Genomic DNA, 20,881 nt, shown 5'->3' on the forward strand with positions numbered 1-20,881 from the left:
AGTTTGGTTCTACAATGGGAGGCACTAAGGGGAGATGAAAGAGCGGAGGGATGTGAGGTGGGGATTGCCAGGGCTTGGCCTTGTGCTTCTGCCAGAATCCCTACAATCTTTCAGATTGTTTTTTCCATATGGCTCTTGCTCCAAGTTCCTCTCTTTGTCCCTTCAGGCCTAGACATGGTAACAGAAACCCTTTTGCCTTCCTAAACCCTTCTATCTTTGTAAATTGATCTGTCCCAGATTTGGTTCCGAAGAAGCAGATTCCAAGATAGAGATTTGTGGGCATGAGGTTTATTAGGGAGTGCTCTCAGGATCCAAACCTGCAGGAAGGAAGGGGAGGGAGAAAAGCAGGGCAGACGAAGAGGCTGGGTAAGCCCAAAGTGACTGGGAGCCTGAAGCTGGGATGTACCTTCAGAGGTGGATGCACCTCTCTGTGGGATGCTTCACAGAGGCAAAGGGTAAGGCCTTTATAGTCCTGTGCTGACAAGTTGTTGGATGCAGGCTGCCCCTGGAAGAGAGCATGAAGTTGGGTAAGGTGACTGTCTTCAGCCTGTGGGGGACTAGGTCCTTCAGTCCTGATGGGAAATTTGAGATGTGCAGTTTCCATGACAGCTCAGCTCTTGTGCTTCATGGATCCACTTCTTTCTGCATGTTAAGGAGAAGCTCCTCTAGGATCACAGTTGGCTTCTGTTCCTGGGGAATCTTCCTGTTTTACTTTACAGTCTAGATTTCCTGTCTCTTTTTGGTACCTCTGCTGGTCTACTTGGCTGGTGGAATGACCTAGCTTCTCACTCTTGAGAAGTCCCATCATTATGCCTTTGTTAGGTGGAGACTGTTGCATTTATCCATCTATTATTAAAAAATGGGCAAGGGAATTCTAAGGGACACCCAGGCAAGTTATCTGGGGGCCTCTCTGTGGCCTTGTGTCAGCAGTCCCATCTCCTTCTGAAGAATGGGATTGATTAATGCTCATGGTACGGTGATTCCTCTTTTTGCTTGGTGATCTCTTGGCATGAGGAGCCTGATGCTCCCAAGTGGCAGCCTTAACCTCATGTTCAATTGAATGCTTGTTGTATTCCCTGATGGAAGCACATCTCCTTTGGGCACCAGGACCTCTAAACCCACAGAGCCTAGGCACAAGTTCCCTAAGGAGTCAATTGTATTGATGGTAAGTGAGGCTATTGCTGCTTCCACTCCTTAGCTCCCACATATTTTACCTCTTGGGGACACAGCATCATATAATGATTGTTTGTTTAGCATGTATATTACACCCAGGAGAATCTGATGATGACATTACCTTGCAAGGATGGGACACCATTCTTCTGGGTGTAATACACATGCTAAATAAACCTCCGATGACATTACCTTGCAATGGTGTGGCTCATCCACTATGCCTTCAACAGGCCTTTCCATCACTCTGTTAGTGTGGCAGCTTCTGGATGGTGCATGATCTGATGGGACTAGTAGAGCTTGTTCCACTTGGGTCAAGCTGGAGCTTGTCCACTCGTGCACCTCATTTCTAGTAAAGTGGGTCACTTGGTTTGATGGGATGTTATGTGAGATGCCATGTTGGTGGATCACTAACTCTCTAAGCCTTTAGATGCTGGTGCCAGCTGAGGCCCTGCAGGCAAGAACAGCAAATCCAACCCAGAAACATGAATTAATTCATACTAAAATGAATCAATGACCTTTCCAGGGTAGAAGATATTCAACTTCCCACCACATGGCTGGTTAGTCTCAAGGGCTAATACCATACCTGGGCAGGGATAAGGGTCATCCTTGGTTTCTGTTGCTGGAAGGTTGAATATTTTGTCAGCCTTGGTGGCTGGGTCAATGTTGTGGAGTGGGAGTGTGTATTGCTGGATCCATGCATAGCCCCCACTCCTGCTACCAGGGCTATGCCATTCATGTACCGTTGTTTGAACATTGACATCTAATGACAGAGGCTGGCCAAAGTCAACTGGCCACATATTCTCTTGTGTCTACTGGTGATTTAGTGGGATGTTCTATTGTAGTGGATGTTCCCTGGTGATCATTAACATGTAATAGAAGGATCTCCACACCTCCTTTCTGTTCCATTAATCCATTCACAGCTCTTTCACCCAGACCTGCTTCATCTTGATTTTCCAATCTCTCTTGATCAAATGGTTAAGCAATTTTCTTGTTCATGAATCCATACATATTCTCATCTGGTGATGATATTGGGACTAAGAGAGGAAGGGAGGCAATGAGGAAGTAAGAAGAGAGAAAAGTTGAAATATTGGTTAGTCATTTTACAAGAACACTTGAACAACCAGAAAGCTGTGGCAGGTAAGAATTGCATATTCCCATTTAGTTTCTACTAATGCCTCTGAAGACTCTAAAGGCAAAATATTTTGTTTCAAATCTGAAATATTTGGCAGGACAGTAATGCTGATATTTAAGTGACTTCAAACAGGAATTATTTGATACATTTATGGATCATCTTTTCTAAAATTTCTAGCAAATTAAAAACTGGAGGATAAGAAACAGCTTTCAGAATGAGGCAAGTAATTCTAAATAAATGTATATGAATTCAAGAAAAAAATAATGCTTCTCTGTGGCATCTCCAAGATAAATAATAAAATAATGGTTTTTTTTTTTTTTTTTTTGTAAAATACTAAAGCAGAGGAGGAGGAAGAAGGGGAGGTGCCCTGGGTATGTGCAAAACTTTCACTCATGCTAGGCACATCGAAACCATCCCCCTTCAGCTCACATTTTAGAGGAAATAGGATACAGGGAATTACCATATTCTTCCCAGGTCCAAACATTTTGAAAAACTTGGCATTTTCTCCACAGTGGTTGCCCTGACGTTTTTAGTCTTTTCCAGTACAAATCATAGCTTCACCCCATTATAAAGCAAACACTTTATATCTCCATTATATAAAGCTTTAATCCCCATTATAAAACAAAAACTCTATACAACGGAAATAAAACTTCAATGTCCTTTTGATCATTTATTACTTCACATTTTTAATAACTTTTGGTTGAATACTTCAGAGAATGCTAGGCTCTGAGTATATCTGGATGAGCAACACAACGTGTCTGAGTCCAAATATAATAACGTATCATATTTGTAATGACACGAGAAGTAAATGGGCTGATGGAAGCAAATATCAAGGACACTTGTTCCAGTCTGGTGGGAGTATAAGAATGAGGTCACAGAATTGACATTTAAACTGAGACCTGGAAAGTATTTAGGATAAAGATTAGATAAAACTGTTAGCCATGGTGGATAAAAGCCAGGGAAGAAATAGTTGCAGAACTCTAACATAGGTTCGGAGAGTCATCAAGAACAGGTAACAAAAGGTATAGAGACTATCCCAAGGCTAATGGGAAGTTACTGAAGGGCTTCAAGCACTTCTTCTTCCCTCCCTTCCTCTCTGCCTGCTTCTCTCCCTCATTCCCTTCATCCATTCTTTCTTTGTTTTTTTTTTTTTTTGCCTTTTTTAAAAAAGATGACACTGACTGCCCTATCAAAAATGGAAGAAGAGGGTAGATTCAATAATATTTTTTAAGATGGACTCAATAGATCTTGGCCACAAGAAATATTGAGTTAAGACGTAAGAATAAAGGATAAAACCCAGGTTTTTCAATCCATCTATGAGAAGATAGTGATCTCACTGACAAATCTGCAGCAGAGAAGGTAGAGAAGGTTCCCTCTCTGTTCACTTATCACAAATATATATATTTTTTATATGATGGACTAAGATAAGAACTCTTTTGTTTACGTTTGTATCCTCAGAACCTAGTCACAGATCTCATTTCAAAAAACTTGAATTGCCTTGGAGCTTGTGATGGATAATTTTATGTGTCAATTGACTGGGATTAAAGATGCCAAGATAGCTGGTAAGACACTATTTTTAAATGTATCTGTGAGGGCTGTTTCAGGGAGAGATTAGCATTTGAATCAGTATGCTGTGTAAAGAAGATCCACCTTAACCAATGTGGAAGGACATCATTCAATCTGTTCACGGCCCAGATAGAACAATAACAACAAGAAAAAAAAAATGGAGGGTGGGCTAGTTTGCACCCTCTCTCTCCTTGAGCAGGGAGATACTTGCATTACACCTTAATGATCACTAGAGAATATGCACTTCAAAAGAATATCCCCACTAAATCACCAATAGACACAGAAGAATAATTTGGCCGGTTGGCATTGACCAGCCTCTGTCATTAGATGCCAGTGTTCAAACAACAGTTCATGAATGGCATAGCCCTGGTAGTAGGAGTGGAGGCTGTGCATGGATTTAGCAATATTCACTCCCACTACTCAACAGTGACACAGGTACTGGTGCTGACAAATATTCTTTCTAGCAACAGAGGCCAGTGAGGACACTCATCCCCACTCAGGTATGGTATTAACCCTTGAGGCCAATCAGCCACATGGTGGAAAGCCGGCTACATTGAATATTTTCTACCCTGGAAAGGTCATTGATTCATTTTGGTGGGAAATGATTTGTGTTTCATGATTCATGTTTTACTCTTCTTCTTCTGAGACACGAGTATCTCGTTCTCAGGCCTTTGGATTTAGCCTGGGGATTACATCATCTGACCCCACCCCTTTAGACTCTGATCAGGACTTACACCATTGACTCCCCTGATTCTCAGGCTTTTAGACTCAAAATGAATTACATCACCACATTTCCTGGTTCTTTAGTTTGCAAATGGCAGATCACAGGGCTTCTTGGCCTCTATAATTGCATGAGCCAGTTCCCATGATAAACAAACAAATATATATCTCTCCATATATCTTATTGGTTCTGTTTCTCTGAGAACCCTGACTAATAAGTCCAATTTTCAAGTGATGGCAGGCAGTAATGGTTTTTCATGCACCAAATCCATTCAGTTGATAATTTATTTTCCCACGCAATACAAGTTTAGGTTAACCTAAAGGAAAAAAAAAACCAAAAAACCAAAAAAACACAAGAACCAAATAAACACTACACTGGATCCACACCAGCCCTATAAAACTAAATGACTTCCTTTAATTTTGATGTGCTCTGGGATTCAGTCCTGGATATTATTCTCCTAATTATCTACACTCATATCGATCTGATCCAATTCCATGGCTTTAAATACTATCTACACTTTGACAACTCCTAAATGCATGTATCCAACTCCAATTTCTCTGCTGAATCCCGGATTTATATATTCTCCCTAACCAGTATCTCTACATTGATGTTTGGTAGACATCTTAAACTTAGCATATGCAAAACTGAACTATCTTTTCCTGCTATTACAGAATACCTGAGACTGGGTTATTTACAATGAACAGAAATGTATTGGCTTACAGGTCTGCAGGCTGGGAAGTCCAAGACTGATGGGTTGGCATCTGGTGAGGGCTTTCTTGCTGCACCATCCCATTGCAGGAGGAAAAAGGGCAAAAGATGACCCATTCCTGAAAGCCTTTTTATCAAGGCATTAAATCCACCTCTTAAATATCTCACTTCTTCATACCATTACAATAGCAATTAAATTTCAACATGAATTTTAGAAGGGACATTCAAACCATAGCACCTACTCTATCTAAGTCTGCTCCATCTCTAGCCATCCACTTTCTTAGGACAAAAATTTCAACATCCCATATTCAGTCACCTCAAAACCTGTTGGCTCTGCCTTCAGAAAATATCCAGACTCTATTTCCCGCTACCTCTTGTGCTATCACCCTGGTCTGAGCCACCATCCTATCTCACTTGGATTCCTGAAATTGCTTTCCAATGAGTCTCCTCATTTTCCTCCTGCACCCTACAGTTCATGCTCAACAGAGCAATTCCTTTTGAAAACAGAAGTCATGTTAGTCACATCACTCATCTGTTTAAAACCCATCAATGATTTCTAACTCATTCAAAGTAGAAACTTAAGAGGTTCCATATGATCAGATATACAATTGGATACCTCCCTGACTACTTCAAGCCTTTGTTCAAACATGAATTTTTCAGTGAATCCTTCATTGACAATTCCATTTAAAATTGTCACTCCTCTTCCTCAGACACTTCAGATCAGAGGTCACCACTCCCCAACCCCCACCTTTGTTCTACAATTTGTTTTTTTTTGTAGCACTTATCCCCCACAAAAACGAACCCTGAGTTAGGGTTCTCAGAGAAACAGAACCAATAGGCTGTATTGAGACAAGAACTACATAATTCACTTGCACATTATGTTCATTGTGTATTGTCTTTCTTCTGTCACTAAAATATAAACTCCATGAGAGCAGGGATCTTTGTATGTTTTGTTTTTTGATATATTGTAAGAACTTCAAACAGTTCCGATAGATAATAGGTGTTCAAAAATGTCTGTTGAATGAAATCATGAATGCCTTCTTTATTTTAACGAGGCCCTGCGGCTAGTGGTATACTATAATACTGTTCACAAAAATTCAGTGTCTCCTCACCATCTAAAGAACATAGTCATCACCAAATGACTTTTTTTATCCAATAAAATGTAAGTGGGAAGAAATTTGTGTTATATGTGTTCAGAAGCTTTAAGGACCAGCATGCGATTTAGCACACTCTCTTTTCCCTACCCCTGTATTGTGGAAGCATGTGTGGAGGTGGGTCCTCCACTATCCTGAATTCCTGAGGGCCTGTGATGAGGAGAATCATCTTGCTAAACTATGATGGACATGTAGCTTAATGACAAATGAAATTTGATATTATGGTCTATCCTGACTAATATAGAATCAAATTCTGAGGTCTTCATCCTCAAGTTAAATATCATCAGGTGGTTGGAACTAATTGCATTTTATGAGCATTTATGTTTATCATGCTCTCCAATTAAAGTAGAATATCTGAAAGTCACAATTAGGCCTTTCAGATGCAATGTAGGAAAGAGAAGGCATTATATGGTTTCATTGTCTCTTGAAACATCAAGATATAGGGAGACTCCATGATGCTAGAGGAACTGCAGTGATGGTTGTCTTCTCAAGGTAGCATGCACACAGCAACTAAGGAAAAGGTGAATCGGATGGGAAAGAGGAGAGTCATAGTGTAAGTGAACCTTGCCTAGATGGGGATCCATCTGTCATCGGGTCAATTCAAGTCTCTTCTCAATGATACTTTTAACCTCTTTGTAGAGCATCATTCACCTGTCCATGTTTCCCACCATAGATATAAAAGAGGGACACTGAGTCTACAAAAAGACACAAACAGCTAGCGTCTTCATTTCTTTGAAGGCAATGTAGAGGTTCTTAAAGACCAGAAAAAGTTCAACTCAGTAAGCTCAGCCCCAGGGAAACCATTTGGATCCGGATGGCCGGAACTCCAGACCAATTGCCTCTAACTGTGGGCAACACTATCTAATTATCCTAATGATTGGTGCAAATGTTTTAATTTTTAATGCATGCTATGAGGTGAAAAATTCAGCAATCATGCAATATGATAAGTGGTTGAAAAATATAAATTGCCATGGAAGCCACAGGAGGGTCAACCCATCTATACTTCCTGGTCTCATTAAAAAATTAAAGATCCAGATTTCTGTCTGAATCCAGCCATAATGTAACCACAGGTTGCATCTTGGGAATCCACAGCCATAATGCTTTGGGAATTCTTGTCAAAACCATTGCTTAACTTTTTAACCCAAAATTCTTGATGATAGAATGTGACCAGTATTCTAATAAAAAAGTATTCCAGAAATTTAATTCAGTGTTTCTTTTCAGAGAGAAGAAACTGTCCAAGATTCAGAGGAGAGGGCCAGAGTCCAGAAATATTCTTTGAAGCCTATAACATTATCAGCAGCCATGCCCTTCCATTTCTGCCCATGGATGTCAGATGGACATTCACTGTGCCATCCAGCTGTTAGGGGAAGGCTGTAATCTTTCTGTTTGTAGCTAAGTAGCTAAGTTTCCACTTTTTTCCTCTGACCATTCTCATCCTTCCCCTTGCCACTTCTCCAAAGGTCCAGTAAATGCCCAGGGCCAGAGACATCGGAGTCATTGTGAGGAAGGGGAAAAGGATGCACACCCAAGTTAACTTCTCTGCTCACCTCAAGCTTGGCCTGAGAGATGCAGCTGGCACTGTTCCCTATTAAAGAGAAGCAAACCCCCAGTGGGCACAGGTTTCTGTCACACTCTTCTGACCAGGCATCTCTAATTGCTTAGTGTGGGTGAGAATGGGGAATCCCCAGAGCAGTATCCCAATAAGGCAGTGTCCCAACCATTCTCACATCATTGATCCAACATTTGTAAAATGTTATTGGATAATTGCAACATTACTAAGCTGCAAAGACTTTGGAGCACATGCTTCTGCCTCAAGGTTAAACAACAGGTTTGGGAAGGGTTATAGGTCAATAACCAATATGGTTTGGTTCTGTGTCTTCCCCCAAATCTCACCTCTAATTGTAATTCCCATGTGTCAAGGGAGGGACTTGGTGGTAGGTGATTGGATCATGGGGCAGTTTACCATGCTATTCTCATGATGGAATTCATAGTTTAATAAGTGTGAGGCTCTTCCACTTAACTCTTCTCATCACAGCCCCTCCCATCATAGGCCTGGAGGCCAAGGAGGCAAAAATGGTTACGTGGGCTGGGTCCAGGGCCCTGCTGCTCTGTGCAACCTCTGAACTTGGTGCCCTGTATCCCAGCCTCTCCAGCTCGAAGCATTGCTAACAGGGGCAAACATACAGTTCAAGTTGTTACTTCAGAGGGTGCAAGCCCCAAACCTTGATGGGTTCTACATGGTGTTGGGTCTGTGGATGTGCAGAAGACAAGAGTTGAACTTTGGGAGTCTCTGCCTAGATTTCAGAGGATGTATGGAAATGCCTGGATGTCCAGGCAGAATTCTGCTACAGGGGTGAAGCTGCCTAAGGCTATGGGAGCCCACCCCTTGCATCAGTGTGCCCAAGATGTGAGACGTGGAGTAAAAAGAGATTTTGGAGCTTTAAGATTTAATGAATGTCCCACTGGGTTTTGGACATGCGTAAGGCCTGTGGCCCCTTTGTTTTGGTCAATTTCTCCCACTTGGAACAGGAACATTTACCCAATGCCTGTACTCCTATTGTATCTTGGAAGTAACTAGCTTGTTTTTTATTTTACAGGCTCATAGGCAGAAGGGACTTGCCTTGTCTCAGATGAGACTTTGGACTTGGACTTCTGAGTTAATGCTGGAATGACTTAAACCTTTGGGGGACTGTTGGGAAAGCATAATTCGTATTGAAATGTGAAAAGGACATAAGATTTGGGAGAGGCCAGGAGTTGAATAATATGTCTTGGCTCTGTATCCCCACCCAAATCTCATCTCAAATTGTAACCCCCATGTGTCAAGAGAGGGAACTGGTGGGCAGGTGATTGCATCATGGGGGCAGTTTCCCCCATGCTCTTGTTGTAATAGAATTATCACACGATCTGGTTGTTTGATAAATGTGTGGCTCTTCCCCTTTGCTCTTCTCTGTCTCCTGTCATCTTGTGAAGAGGTGCCTGCTCCCCTGTCACCTTCAGCCATGATTGTAAGTTTTCTGAAGCCTCCCCAGCCATGCAGAACTATAAGTCAGTTAAACCTCCTTTCTTTATAAATTACTCAGTCTCAGAGAGCATGTTTATGGCAGTGTGAAGACAGGCTAATGCAATGACTCACCTATAATCCATGTAAGAAATTGAGCAAAGGGTACACCTGTATTTTAAGGGTAATATATGGTGGTTCCCAGGGGCTGTGAGCATGGAGAAATAAGTGACTTCCCTAAAACAAGGTAGAATTGGGGTGGGTCATCTTAGGACACACCATTTTTTTTCACCACAATCCTGGTTATGAAGTAATGTAACAACCTCAAATTAACTGGCACGTTCAATATCCCAATGGGGTTATTTTCTATAAGCCTCACTTCCAGCATCTGAAAACATACATTGTCTGGGGCATAGGGAAGGGCAGCAACATGTTTGCCTCTTGCTAGAGCCAGGGCTCACTGAGCATGGAGCATGGCCACACATCTCTGGACTCTAACCCCAGAGCTTATGCTAGATATATAAGCACACTGCTCAGGGAAACAAAAAAAGTGAAACGTAAGCTTTGTGTCTAAATCTGCCTGGGATTTAGACTATAAAGTAATCACTTCTAGAGCTACTTTTTTTGTTTTGTTTTTTGTTTTGTTATATTTTTTTGAGACATTTTTCTGTCATTAAGGCTGAAGTGTAGTGGTGCGATCTTGACATTGCAACCTCTGTCTCCCAAACTTAAGTGATTCTCGGGCCTCAGCCTCCTGAGAAGCTGGGATTACTGGCATGTACCACCACACCAGCTAATTTTTGTATTTTTAGTAGAAATGGGGTTTTGCCATGTTGGCCAGGCTGCTCTCTGAAAGATTCTCCCTGGGGCTTGAAAGCTTAAAGGGATGAGTAACTCCTCCCCTCTCAAGTCCAGTCCCAAAGCACAAGGCAACTTGAGCCAGCAGCATGCATCAGCAAGATAGCAGAAGCAGGAAGAGAGCCAGGTGGAAGACACCTACCCTGGCCGGAAGACACGTACCCCTGAAGAGCAAGAAAGAGGCCATCCGGGTACTACGTAGCAGTCATGTCAGACTAGGACACTTCCTGTTTCTAGGAGACCATAAAACCCTTGCCCCATCCTCATTTGATGCTGACGCCATTTTGGGCCTCAGCCTACCTGTACCCAGGTGCTCATTAAAACAGCATGTTGCTCCACATCACCTCATGTTGTCTGTTGGCATGCTTTCAGGGTTCGAACCAATACAATCTGGTGCTGAAATCCAGGAGGGGCTTACGTTTGCATTCCCCGTGGACCTACCCCTCCACCCCAGAGAGCAGGCCACAGCAGCCAAACAAAGGAAGCTCTTCAGCCTCCAGTCGCCTCTCTGTGCATGCACATCGGTCACTGATCTCACCTACTCGTAAATTTCCCAGGAGCCCAGTTAACAGGAGAATCTGCACAGCCTCTCTTGGTTTCTCCTGTCCAAAAATTCAACATTGGCCCAAGAAGGCTCCCGCATGTGCCAGGCACTCACTGATCATCTGGTCTTAGGGGGGTGCCTCTAAGCCATTTGATCCCGTTCCGGGAACGAAAAAGGCAGCAGTGACGATTGCTCCTTTTATCGTCTCCCTCTGGCCATCCAGGACGGTCTCATTTTTCCCTGTTCTCCCAAGCCTACCCTCCGTTATGGGAAACTCCCGGTCCTCCATTCCAAAAAAACAGCCCTCTAGGCTGCTTCATAAAAAACTTGCAAACCTTAGTCCTCAGGCAAAATATCCACACTAAGGGCCTTGTCTTTTTTGCAATTCTGTCTGGCCACAGTGGGTCCAAATGGGCCACAAATGGAACATTCAACTTTACAATTTTAACTGACTTAAGCAATTATTGCCGATGAATGGAGAAATGGGGAGAAATTCCTTATGTCCAGGCCTTTTTGCCCTCGGATCACAACCCGACCTCTGCAATTCTTGCTCCCCTGTTCAAATCCTTCTCCTCCATTCTCTCCACCCTGATCACCTTTCTCCTCCCAACCCTACCTCTTTTTCCTCGTTAGATCCAGCAGACTGCTGTCCACCCCTCCCAGCCCCCACCTCTCCCTCTCAACTGTCTTCTTTACCCCCATAAGCCTCCTCTTTATTTTCTCAGCTGCGATCTTCTTAGCTGCCATCTTCCCAGCTGCCATCTTCCCAGTCATTTGTATCCACTTCTTTTCCTACACAGTCCCCTCCTCAGGACAATTTTAGTATTGCCTATACCCATTCTCCTCCCCCACCGCCCTCTCCTGAGGCTTGTAAACCCATCCCACCATTTTACGCCTCTATCTATCCTCCACTGCCTGTTAACTCAAACCCCCTTCTCCCTTCAAAGCCTCAGCAGGAACCACTTCCAGGTTCTTTCTTCTCTCCCACCCGTACTCACTCAGGCGCCATCTTCCGCCCATGCCCCAACCTTACTTCAGCGCCTGTGCTAGAGTGCCCCCTTCAGGAAGTAGCAGGAACTGAAAGTATTGTTAGAGTTCATGTTCCTTTCTCCCTCACTGATCTCTCTCAAATTAACAAAAGACTTGGTTCATTTCCAGAAGACCCTACCTCTTATATTAAGGAGTTTCAGTACCTTACCCAGTCTTATGAACTAACTTGGCATGACCTCTACATTGTCCTCTCTTCCACCCTCACCCCAGAAGATGGGGACCGTATCTGGGCCCTAACTCAGGTGCATGCTGATACAATTCATCACCAAGCTCCTGCCCAGCCTACTGGTGCAGAGGCAGTCCCTAACCAGGACCCTTACTGGGATTATCAAGACGGGGCCCCTGGATGCCACCATCGAGACCACATGATTATGTGTCTCCTTGCAGGACTCAAAAAGGGTGCCCGTAAAGCAGTGAACTATGAAAAACTTTCAGAAATCACCCAAGGTCCTGACAAAAACCCAGCCTTTTTCTCTCTCATTTAACTGAAGCCATGAGAAAGTATATCAACCTAGACCCAGCCAGCCCAGAAGGAACCAGTATCTTAAACCTGCAGTTTATCTCCCAATCCACCCTCAATATTCAGTGCAAGCTTCAGAAGCTTGAGGACGGTCCTCAAACCCCACAACGAGACCTTCTTAATTTAGCCTTCAAAGTCTTTAACAATCATGATGAGGAAAGTAAAAGGCAAAAACAGGCAGAGTTTCAAATGCTTGCCTCTGCCATCAGGGGCCCTGCAGGCCCACAGGGCTGCAGCTCCACACAGAAGCCTCCTAGCAATCCATCTCCTCCTGGTGCCTGTTTCAAGTGCGGCAATGAGGGCCACTGGTCCAGACAATGCCCAAACCCAGGTAAGCCCACCAGGCCATGCCCCCTCTGAGAAAGACCCCACTGGAAGTCAGACTGTGAGTGGCCCCTGCAAGGACTGCCCCCATCCCTTCCCAAGCTGGTCAAAACCTCCCAGTTGGATCTCATTGGCTTTGCCGCTGAAGACTGATGGTGCCCTGGAACAGAGGCACTGGCAACTACCATTGCTTCATCCGAGCCAAGGGGAACCCTGATGGTGGTAGTTAGGCCAGTATTTTTTTTTTAATTAATACCAGGGCAACCTACTGTGCTTTACTTAATTTTTCAGGACCCACTGAGTCCTCCCAGGTCTCTTTTGTAGGACTTGATGGACAAGTCTCCAAACCCTGAGCCAACCCTCCACTTTTCTTCTCCCTGCACACCTTTTCCTTCACTCACCCTTTCTTAGTCCTGCCTTCATGCCCAACTCTGCTCCTAGGCAGAGACATCCTTTCAAAACTCCACACTACTCTCCACTTCCACATTGCCATATACCCAATGCATCTACCCTGTCCCCTCCAGTACTTCTAACTTCCTTCTACTCCTCCAACCTTCCACCCTAAACCATGCAACTTTTCCTTATTCCCCATCTGTAGTTAACCCCACTGTTTAGGATACTTCACACCCTCAGTCGCAGAACACCACACCCCCATCTGCATTATCCTTAAAGAGCCCACGTAGTTCCTGTCACAGAAGCAGTATCCCATCCTCCAAGCAGCTCTCATGTGCCTAAAGCCTATCATTTCTTGCCTCCTTGCCAGTCACCTACTCTGCCCAACAAGCTCCCCTTTTAACACACCAGTTCTAACTGTTAAAAAGCCAGATGGAACTTACCGCTTAGTCCAGGACCTCAGGCTCATTAACCAAGCTGTACTCCCAGTATGTCCAGTAGTTCCTAATCCATATACTTTGCTTTCCACAATTCCCTTCAATACCACCCCTTTTTCTGTTCTAAACCTAAAGGATGCTTTTTTTTTCACAATTCCTTTACACCCTGATTCCCAAAACCTCTTTGCCTTTACTTAGGAAAACCCCGACACCCAACTTTCACGTCAGTTCACCTGGTGTGTACTACCTCAAGGTTTCAGAGACAGCCCCCACCTTTTTGGACAGATCCTTGCTCACAACCTCTGTACTTTATCCCTAAAACCGTCCACTGTCCCTCAATGTGTTAATGATCTGCTCCTGTGTAGCCCCTCTCCAAGAGACTGCAACGCCCATACTATCTCTCTCTTTTAAACTTTTTGGCAGAATGGGGTATTGGGTCTCCCCTAAGAAAGCACAAATATGCAACCCCTCAGTCACCTATCTAGGCCTAGCTCTTACCCCGTGAACCCAAGGGCTCACAACCAACCACATATCCCTCCTCCAGTCCCTCCTGTCTCCACAAACTAAGCAAGAAATTATCTCTTTTCTAGGACTAGTGGAATATTTTAGGCTCTGGGTTCCCTCCTTCACTCTACTTGCCAAACTGTTATACCAAGCTGCTAAAGGCCCTCTCCATGAATCTTCAAACCGTGCACAGCCTATTACCCAACCTTTCCGTCTACTCCAGAAGGCTCTCACCTCAGCTCCTGTCCTCACTCTCCCAGACCTCACCAAATTTTCTCCCTCTATACTGAGAAATGGCGTGGAATTTCACTAGGTGTCCTAACCCAGTCTAAGGGACCCACCCTCCAGGTTGTTGCCTACCTTTCTAAACAGCTTGAAGCCACAGTTCTCGGATGGCCTGCCTGCCTCTTAGCATTGGCGCATTGGCGGTAACTGCAGTCCTCACCCTTGAAAGCCTAAAACTATCTCTCTATGCCAACCTAACAGTTTATTCAACCCATAACATCAAAGACATGCTAGCTCACCTCAGTGTACTGTCTTATCTCTGCCCCACAGCTCCTCCAATTGTATGCTCTATTCATAGAAACTTCCCACATCACCATGCTAACCATCTCCCGTCTAAACCCGGCCACGTTCTGTCCCTGTCCTTTTTCTCTCCTCCTTACACCTCAGAAGAAAAGCAGGACTTCTGATCCCAAAACCTTCAAAAGCAAAGACCATGTTATGTCAAGGAAGGGTGCTTCGTTCTTCCTCACTCTCAAACAATCTGTCAACTAAAGCCTCCACAACTCTTTCCATGTCGGGTACAAACCTCTCTTGCAACTTCTCCGACCTATCCTCACTTGTCCTCACCTTTCCAGCCGTGTTTGAGAGATTACCCAGTCCTGCTCTATCTGCCACTCAGTATCACTCTAGAGTTCCCTCTGACTCCACCTTTTCCTAGCCACTAAGCCCAGGGCCAGGTACTGAGGCAAGATTGGCAAGTAGACTTCACTCACATGCCACCCGATAAACGGCTCCACTATCTTCTAGTCTTTGTCTGTACTTTCTCCGTGTGGGTAGAAGCGTTCCCAACAACTTCAGAAGGTGCAAATGTCATCACACAAACTCTCATCATGCATATAATTCCCCGTTTCAGACTCCCAACATCCATCCAGTCTGATAACGAGCCCACCTTCATCAGCCAAATTACCCAAGGTGTCTCTACATCCTTAGGTATAAAATGGGTTCTCTACACACCCTACAGGCCTCAATCTTCAGGTAAAGTTGAAAAAATTAACTCTGTCCTTAAAGCCCAACTCACCAAGCTGGCTCTAGAGACCCAGCTGTCTTGGACAAAAAAATCTCCCATTTCCCCTCATGAGACTCCACGCAACACCAAAAGAACCCTCTTTTTATAGTCCCTTTGAAATCTTGGGTGGCCGAACTTTTGTTTTAGGGCCTCCATCCTTACCAGACTCTGAGCCACTCATGAATTATCTCCACTTCTTAATCCAGACACAGTCTTTCATTCATGAAGCAGCAGATGAGGCCATGCCTCTCCTTGTCAACACCTCCTTGTCCTCTCAACGTAACTGTCTTGCAGGCACAGATGTGTTTATCTGCCAACCTGACCCTCACCAATAGCTACAACTGAAGTGGACAGGCCCCTACACTGTGATACTCAGCATGCCATCTGCAATGACAGTCCAAGGACTCCCCGACTGGGTCCATCGCACCAGGGTCAAGCTCACCCCCAAGGCTACTCCTTCCTCCAAAACATTAACGGCGGGCAACACCCTCAGAGTCCCTGTATATAATAACCTAAACAAAGAAAAATGATCCTTAAAGGTAGGAGGAAGCCAAAGATGGCAAGAGGACGAATGGCCTCCGCAACAGATCATTGAATATTATGGTCCTGCCACTTGCGCTGAGGATGGTTCATGGGGTTATTGCACTCCCATATATATGCTAAATAGAATAATTAGACTACAGGTGGTTCTACAGATAATCAGTAACCAAACGGCCTCAGCCCTGGAAATGCCCACACAACACCAAAATCAAATGCATGCAGCAATTTATCAAAACAGGCTAGCACTACCCTGCTTATTAGCAGAAGAAGGTGGGGTGTGTGGTAAGTTTAATATCTCTAACTGCTGTCTTAACATAGACGATAATGGAAAAGCAGTTCTAGAAATCGCTTCAAACATCAAAAAAGTAGCCCATGTACCAGTCCAAACCTAGAAGGGATGGGACCCAACAAATCTTCTAAGAAGGTGGTTCTCTAATTTAGGAGGATTTAAAACACTGGTAAGGACAGTAATCTTCATCACTGGGCTCCTCCTGTTTCTCCCCTTGTTATCCCACTGATAATAAAAGCCATTAAAATTCTTGTTGAAACTACAGTTAACTGTCAGACTATCCAGACAATGTTCCTGCTACAACGACACGATGGATACCAACCCGTCTCTCAAGAGTACCCCCAAAATTAAGTTTTTCTTTTTCCAAGATGCTCATGCCACCCCCTACGTCACGACTGAAGTAATTATTGAGAAAGTTGTCCCTTTTCCCTTTCTTCTATAACCAGTAGACAGGAATGGCAAGATTCTCCCCGGGGCCTGAAAGCTTAAAGGGATGAGTAACTCCTCCCTTCTCAGGCCCAGTTCCAAGGTGCAAGGCTACTTGAGCCAGCAGCGTGAGTCAGCAAGATAGCAGAAGCAGGAAGAGAGCCGCTGGGAAGACACCTACCCTGGATGGAAGACACGTACCCCTGAAGATCGAGAAAGAAGCCGTCTGGGTACTACGTAGCAGTCATGTCAGACTGAGACACTTCCTGTTTCCAGGGGACCGTAAAACCCCTGTCCTATCCTCATTTGGTGCTGATACCATTTTAGGCCTCAGCCTGTCTCTACCCAGGCACTCATTAAAACAGCCTCGTGTTGTCTGTTGGCGCGCTCTGGGGGTTCGAACCTATACAACAACCTTACAGTCTCAAACTCCCGGCTTCAAGTGATCTGTTGTCTTCACCTCCAAAAGTGCTGGGATTATAGGTATGTGCCACCGCACCCAACCTAGAGCTACTTTTGAATTCATCCAGCCTTATAATCACTTCAAGAGGTGTCTAGGGAGATCTCCCTTTACTCTTTTTCTTGCATTCATTTCTAGACTGTAGAACATTTTTCTCATATATATACAGTAGCTGATGGGGAATTTCTGAAACTTCAAGATACACTCTTCTCACACCATGTTTTTTATTTTAAAAGAACATACTTACTCAAGTGTTATTTATTAAAAATACTTTATTGAAATCTTCTATTTGCTTTGTACGACTTTGTACACGTTCTTTCAGGGAGAGAGTTCTCCAGTGTTCTCCAGTGCCCCTAAGAGACATATCTATGGGTAAATGTAGAAGAATCTGTGGTAACTGTCATGCTGCCTTGTTTGAGGGTCATCTGTAAGACAGGGTGCTGAGAGAACAGTACTACACATGCACACACACACCACACACACAAACACACACACAGGGTGATTTAAGGATAATACAGCCTTTTAGTATGTAATCCCACTTCTAAATTCAAAGCATATGGTTAAGTTCTGATTTTTAAACAATAGCCAATTTGTATGCTTGTTGTGAGCAAAACTGGTTTGACTTAACTTGACTTTTCCCGGCTGAAAACTTCTCAGTTGCTGCCATCAATGGAAAACAGATTAAGAGACAAATTTCAAATGAACGCTTGATGCCCTTTCTTGAAAGGAGGAAAACAGAAAGGGAATGCTCTGCTGGAGATGGTTTCTGTGAGGCTTGCTGTCAGCACCACAGTCCTTATCCCTCTGCATTTATTTCACTAGCACTGGAAATGTGCTGGTTTGTGCAAATATGATCAAGCCCACCCCATGACAGTTTCAGGGTCACATCATTTACTGGAACACATTTACAATTTTTTGCACATAAATTACCTACATGCCTTTAGATTAAATGCACCTTCCAAAAAAAAATTCCACATCATTATTGAATTGCAATTTCATACACTTAGCCTGAAATTTCCATTCTGTCAGAATCACTCATGTTCCCCACAGTTTCAAAAGACTAAAATCACTTTACTGTAACTATATTTTTTTCAATACTAGGCCAAGGATAAATGTGGTTACATTGATTTCTCACAAATGAACCTTAAACCACTGATTTGAAATGAGAAAACCACTGTTTGAAATCATTTTCAATCTGAGGTATGTTTAATTGGCTTTAAAGAAACTTTGCCAGCTTATTTGGAAAAACAAAAAACAAAACAAAAAAAACCCTCTTGATCTCACTCTTGTTTTCAATCCCCTAGAAGAAGCTTGACTGTGAAAGAACCTCTTTCTTCACTGTTTTCAGCTTTTTCACCCTCCTGAAAGCTACCAACTTCCTGTTGGGCTCCCTTCTGAGGTGCCCTATCAATTTTGGCCCAGGGTTGGTCATGTCTAATCCATAATTAGAATGGGCTGGCCACAGTGGCTCATCTCTGTAATCCCAGGACTTTGGGAGGCAGAGGTGTAAGGACCCCTTGAGTCCAGAGGTTTCAGACCTACCTGAGCAACATGGCAAAACCCTGTCTCTACAAAAAAATACAAAAGTTAGCTGGGCGTGGTGGGGTGCACCCGTGGTTCCAGTTGCTCCAGAGGCTGAGGTAGAAGGACCGCTTGAGCCTGGAAGGTCAAAGCTGAAGTGAGCCATTATTGTACCACTGCACTCCAGACTGGGCTACAGAGTGAGAACCTGTTTCAAAAAAAAAAAAATTATAAGAAAAGAAAAGTTTGAAGTATGGTCCCAACCTGAACTCAAGATTGGTGGTAATGCTGATTTTTCAGGTTCTGAGTGTGTTATTAACAGCAGATCTCTTCTTCTAACAGCCTTCAGGTTACGGCGTAATGATCAGATATTCATCACTCGGATATAACCAATATCGATCCACAAAAAGATGACTGCTTTAACCCACTCACAATCATCCTCTGCTCCAGGCCCTTTCTGTTGGACTCTCAGATCCATGCTCTTCAAGAGCACTGGGTGCCCCAAGGGACCTGCCTCCATGTCTACATCAAAGACTCCCTTGTCACCTGGCTTCTGTTGGTTCAGCCACAGGAGGCACTGGCAGGAAGTCAGGGTGAGAAAGAAGAGTAAGTTCAAGTCATGTTTGCATGATTCCATCACTGTGGGTCATGCCTACGGTGGCTTGAGTTTTTTCTTTTATTTCTTGTTTGTTTGTTAACTGAAGGCTGCAGCTACGGCCAGGCAAACCTCAGTAACAACTACTATATCTTCTTTAGTTAACTTTTCTCCTATCCCCTTTGCCCCTTAGCTCTAAGGTTGGTGAGATCATGCCAGGATGCTTCATAACATTTTGCTTTTTATTAATCCTACTAATTCCCTTATAAAACTAAATTTAATTGCCTCTTTGAGTGAACTGTGTCCAACTGTGACAAGCTCTGCTACGTTACCATAGCTTAAGGACCGTTCCTTTACTTATTATACCTTATCAGAATGTAGAAGAAAGGAGATCCCACTCAATGAAAACTAAACTAATTAGTCACTTACAGATAGAGAATATGAAAGGAATCCACTCAGGTATAAGAAGAAGGTAGGCCAACCATCTGGTATTTCATTTAACTGATCTGGGGTCCACCAGGCTAAGGGCTACAGTTCCTTTAATGCTACTTCCTAATTTTCTCTTAGCCCTAGGCATTGAGAATAAAGTGTGTTTGTCTGTCTGCATTAGCATTCCTTCTAAGAAGATTAAAAGATAAATTATTAATTTAAGGAGGGTGCACATCATTGAATTTGAAGTTACAAATTTGAACCAGTAGAACTGTTCTGAGTGACAAACTGATATATGCAGGGAATATTAAACACTTCAAGTTTTGCTTTGAAAGATGATCAAACAATGACAGAATAGGTCATAGGCAGATTGTTTCAATCTGATCTACAGATGAAAGCAAAGTGGAAGCAGGGGGCCAAAAATTAATATTGATGTTTCAGAATCAGAAAATAGGGGTTTAGGTTCCACTCTTAATGGTTATGTGACTTTGAGCAAATTAGTTTTAGAGACACATTAGAAGGTTGGTTTCTATGATACAAGGCTGCTGGCTTATATTCTGCTAGGGATTTTCCTCCCTTCCTTCAAAGACTCGTTTCTTAATCATTGGGTTCCTTACTCTACATCATAGCTACTAAAACACGTTTTGATCTCTGTAATTTAAATATTTACATAGATAATACATTTTTCATTATTTTTAGAATCGATTTTGGCTAAATTTCAAGTATTTAAATTATCTCTTGAATGAACAGGAATCATCTCCAAAATATAGCCCCAAACCCACCTAGGCATAATGACAAACATAAATTTATAAATTCAGCATTTCTTATTTTAAAGATACATAGACCCTAATACTTCAGTATTGATATTTAGTCTAATGTATCCTTTTCACCAGATAACATGTCCTCCAGTTTTTGGATTTCTGTTATTATATTTTCTTCACATGAATTTATTGAAAGGAACTTTTTAAGAGAAGGCTAAACCTAAACCCTCTTTGCTACTCATCCCCTTACTGTTTTTCAAACTTCTCCTTGATTTCTTCTACATTTCCTCATTGCACTCTGACAAAATTCTGAGAAGCTCTGCAATTCTTTGTAATGGCCTGGCTCAGGTCATTGGTTCCCTTCATTAATGACAGTTCATTCCAACTGTAGACCCTCAGTGGGGACTCTGGCAACCTGTCCCTGCCTACTGGCTCTTTTCTTGGTATTACTGATATGCTCCAGGAAAGATTTCAGGAATGACGTTTTCTA

The 20,881-nt window shown here is 43.2% G+C and overlaps 1 long non-coding RNA gene across 2 annotated transcripts in view; it reads right to left on the minus strand.

Moving 5' to 3' along the window:
• Positions 1-275: 275 nt before the first annotated feature.
• The window catches only part of LOC153910 (uncharacterized), a 111,435-nt gene continuing 90,829 nt past the window's right edge, over positions 276-20,881 (minus strand). Inside the window, exons 2-3 of one of the 2 annotated variants that reach the window (NR_027312.1) lie at positions 18,628-18,814; positions 276-2,204 (exon numbers count right to left, since the gene is read on the minus strand). This is a non-coding gene — a long non-coding RNA (uncharacterized LOC153910). The remainder of the gene's footprint in view (positions 2,205-18,627; positions 18,815-20,881) is intronic. The other variant, NR_027311.1, reaches the window with a different exon arrangement.

This window comes from Homo sapiens, chromosome 6 (assembly GCF_000001405.40).
Source record: "Homo sapiens chromosome 6, GRCh38.p14 Primary Assembly".
Lineage (NCBI taxonomy): Eukaryota > Metazoa > Chordata > Mammalia > Primates > Hominidae > Homo > Homo sapiens.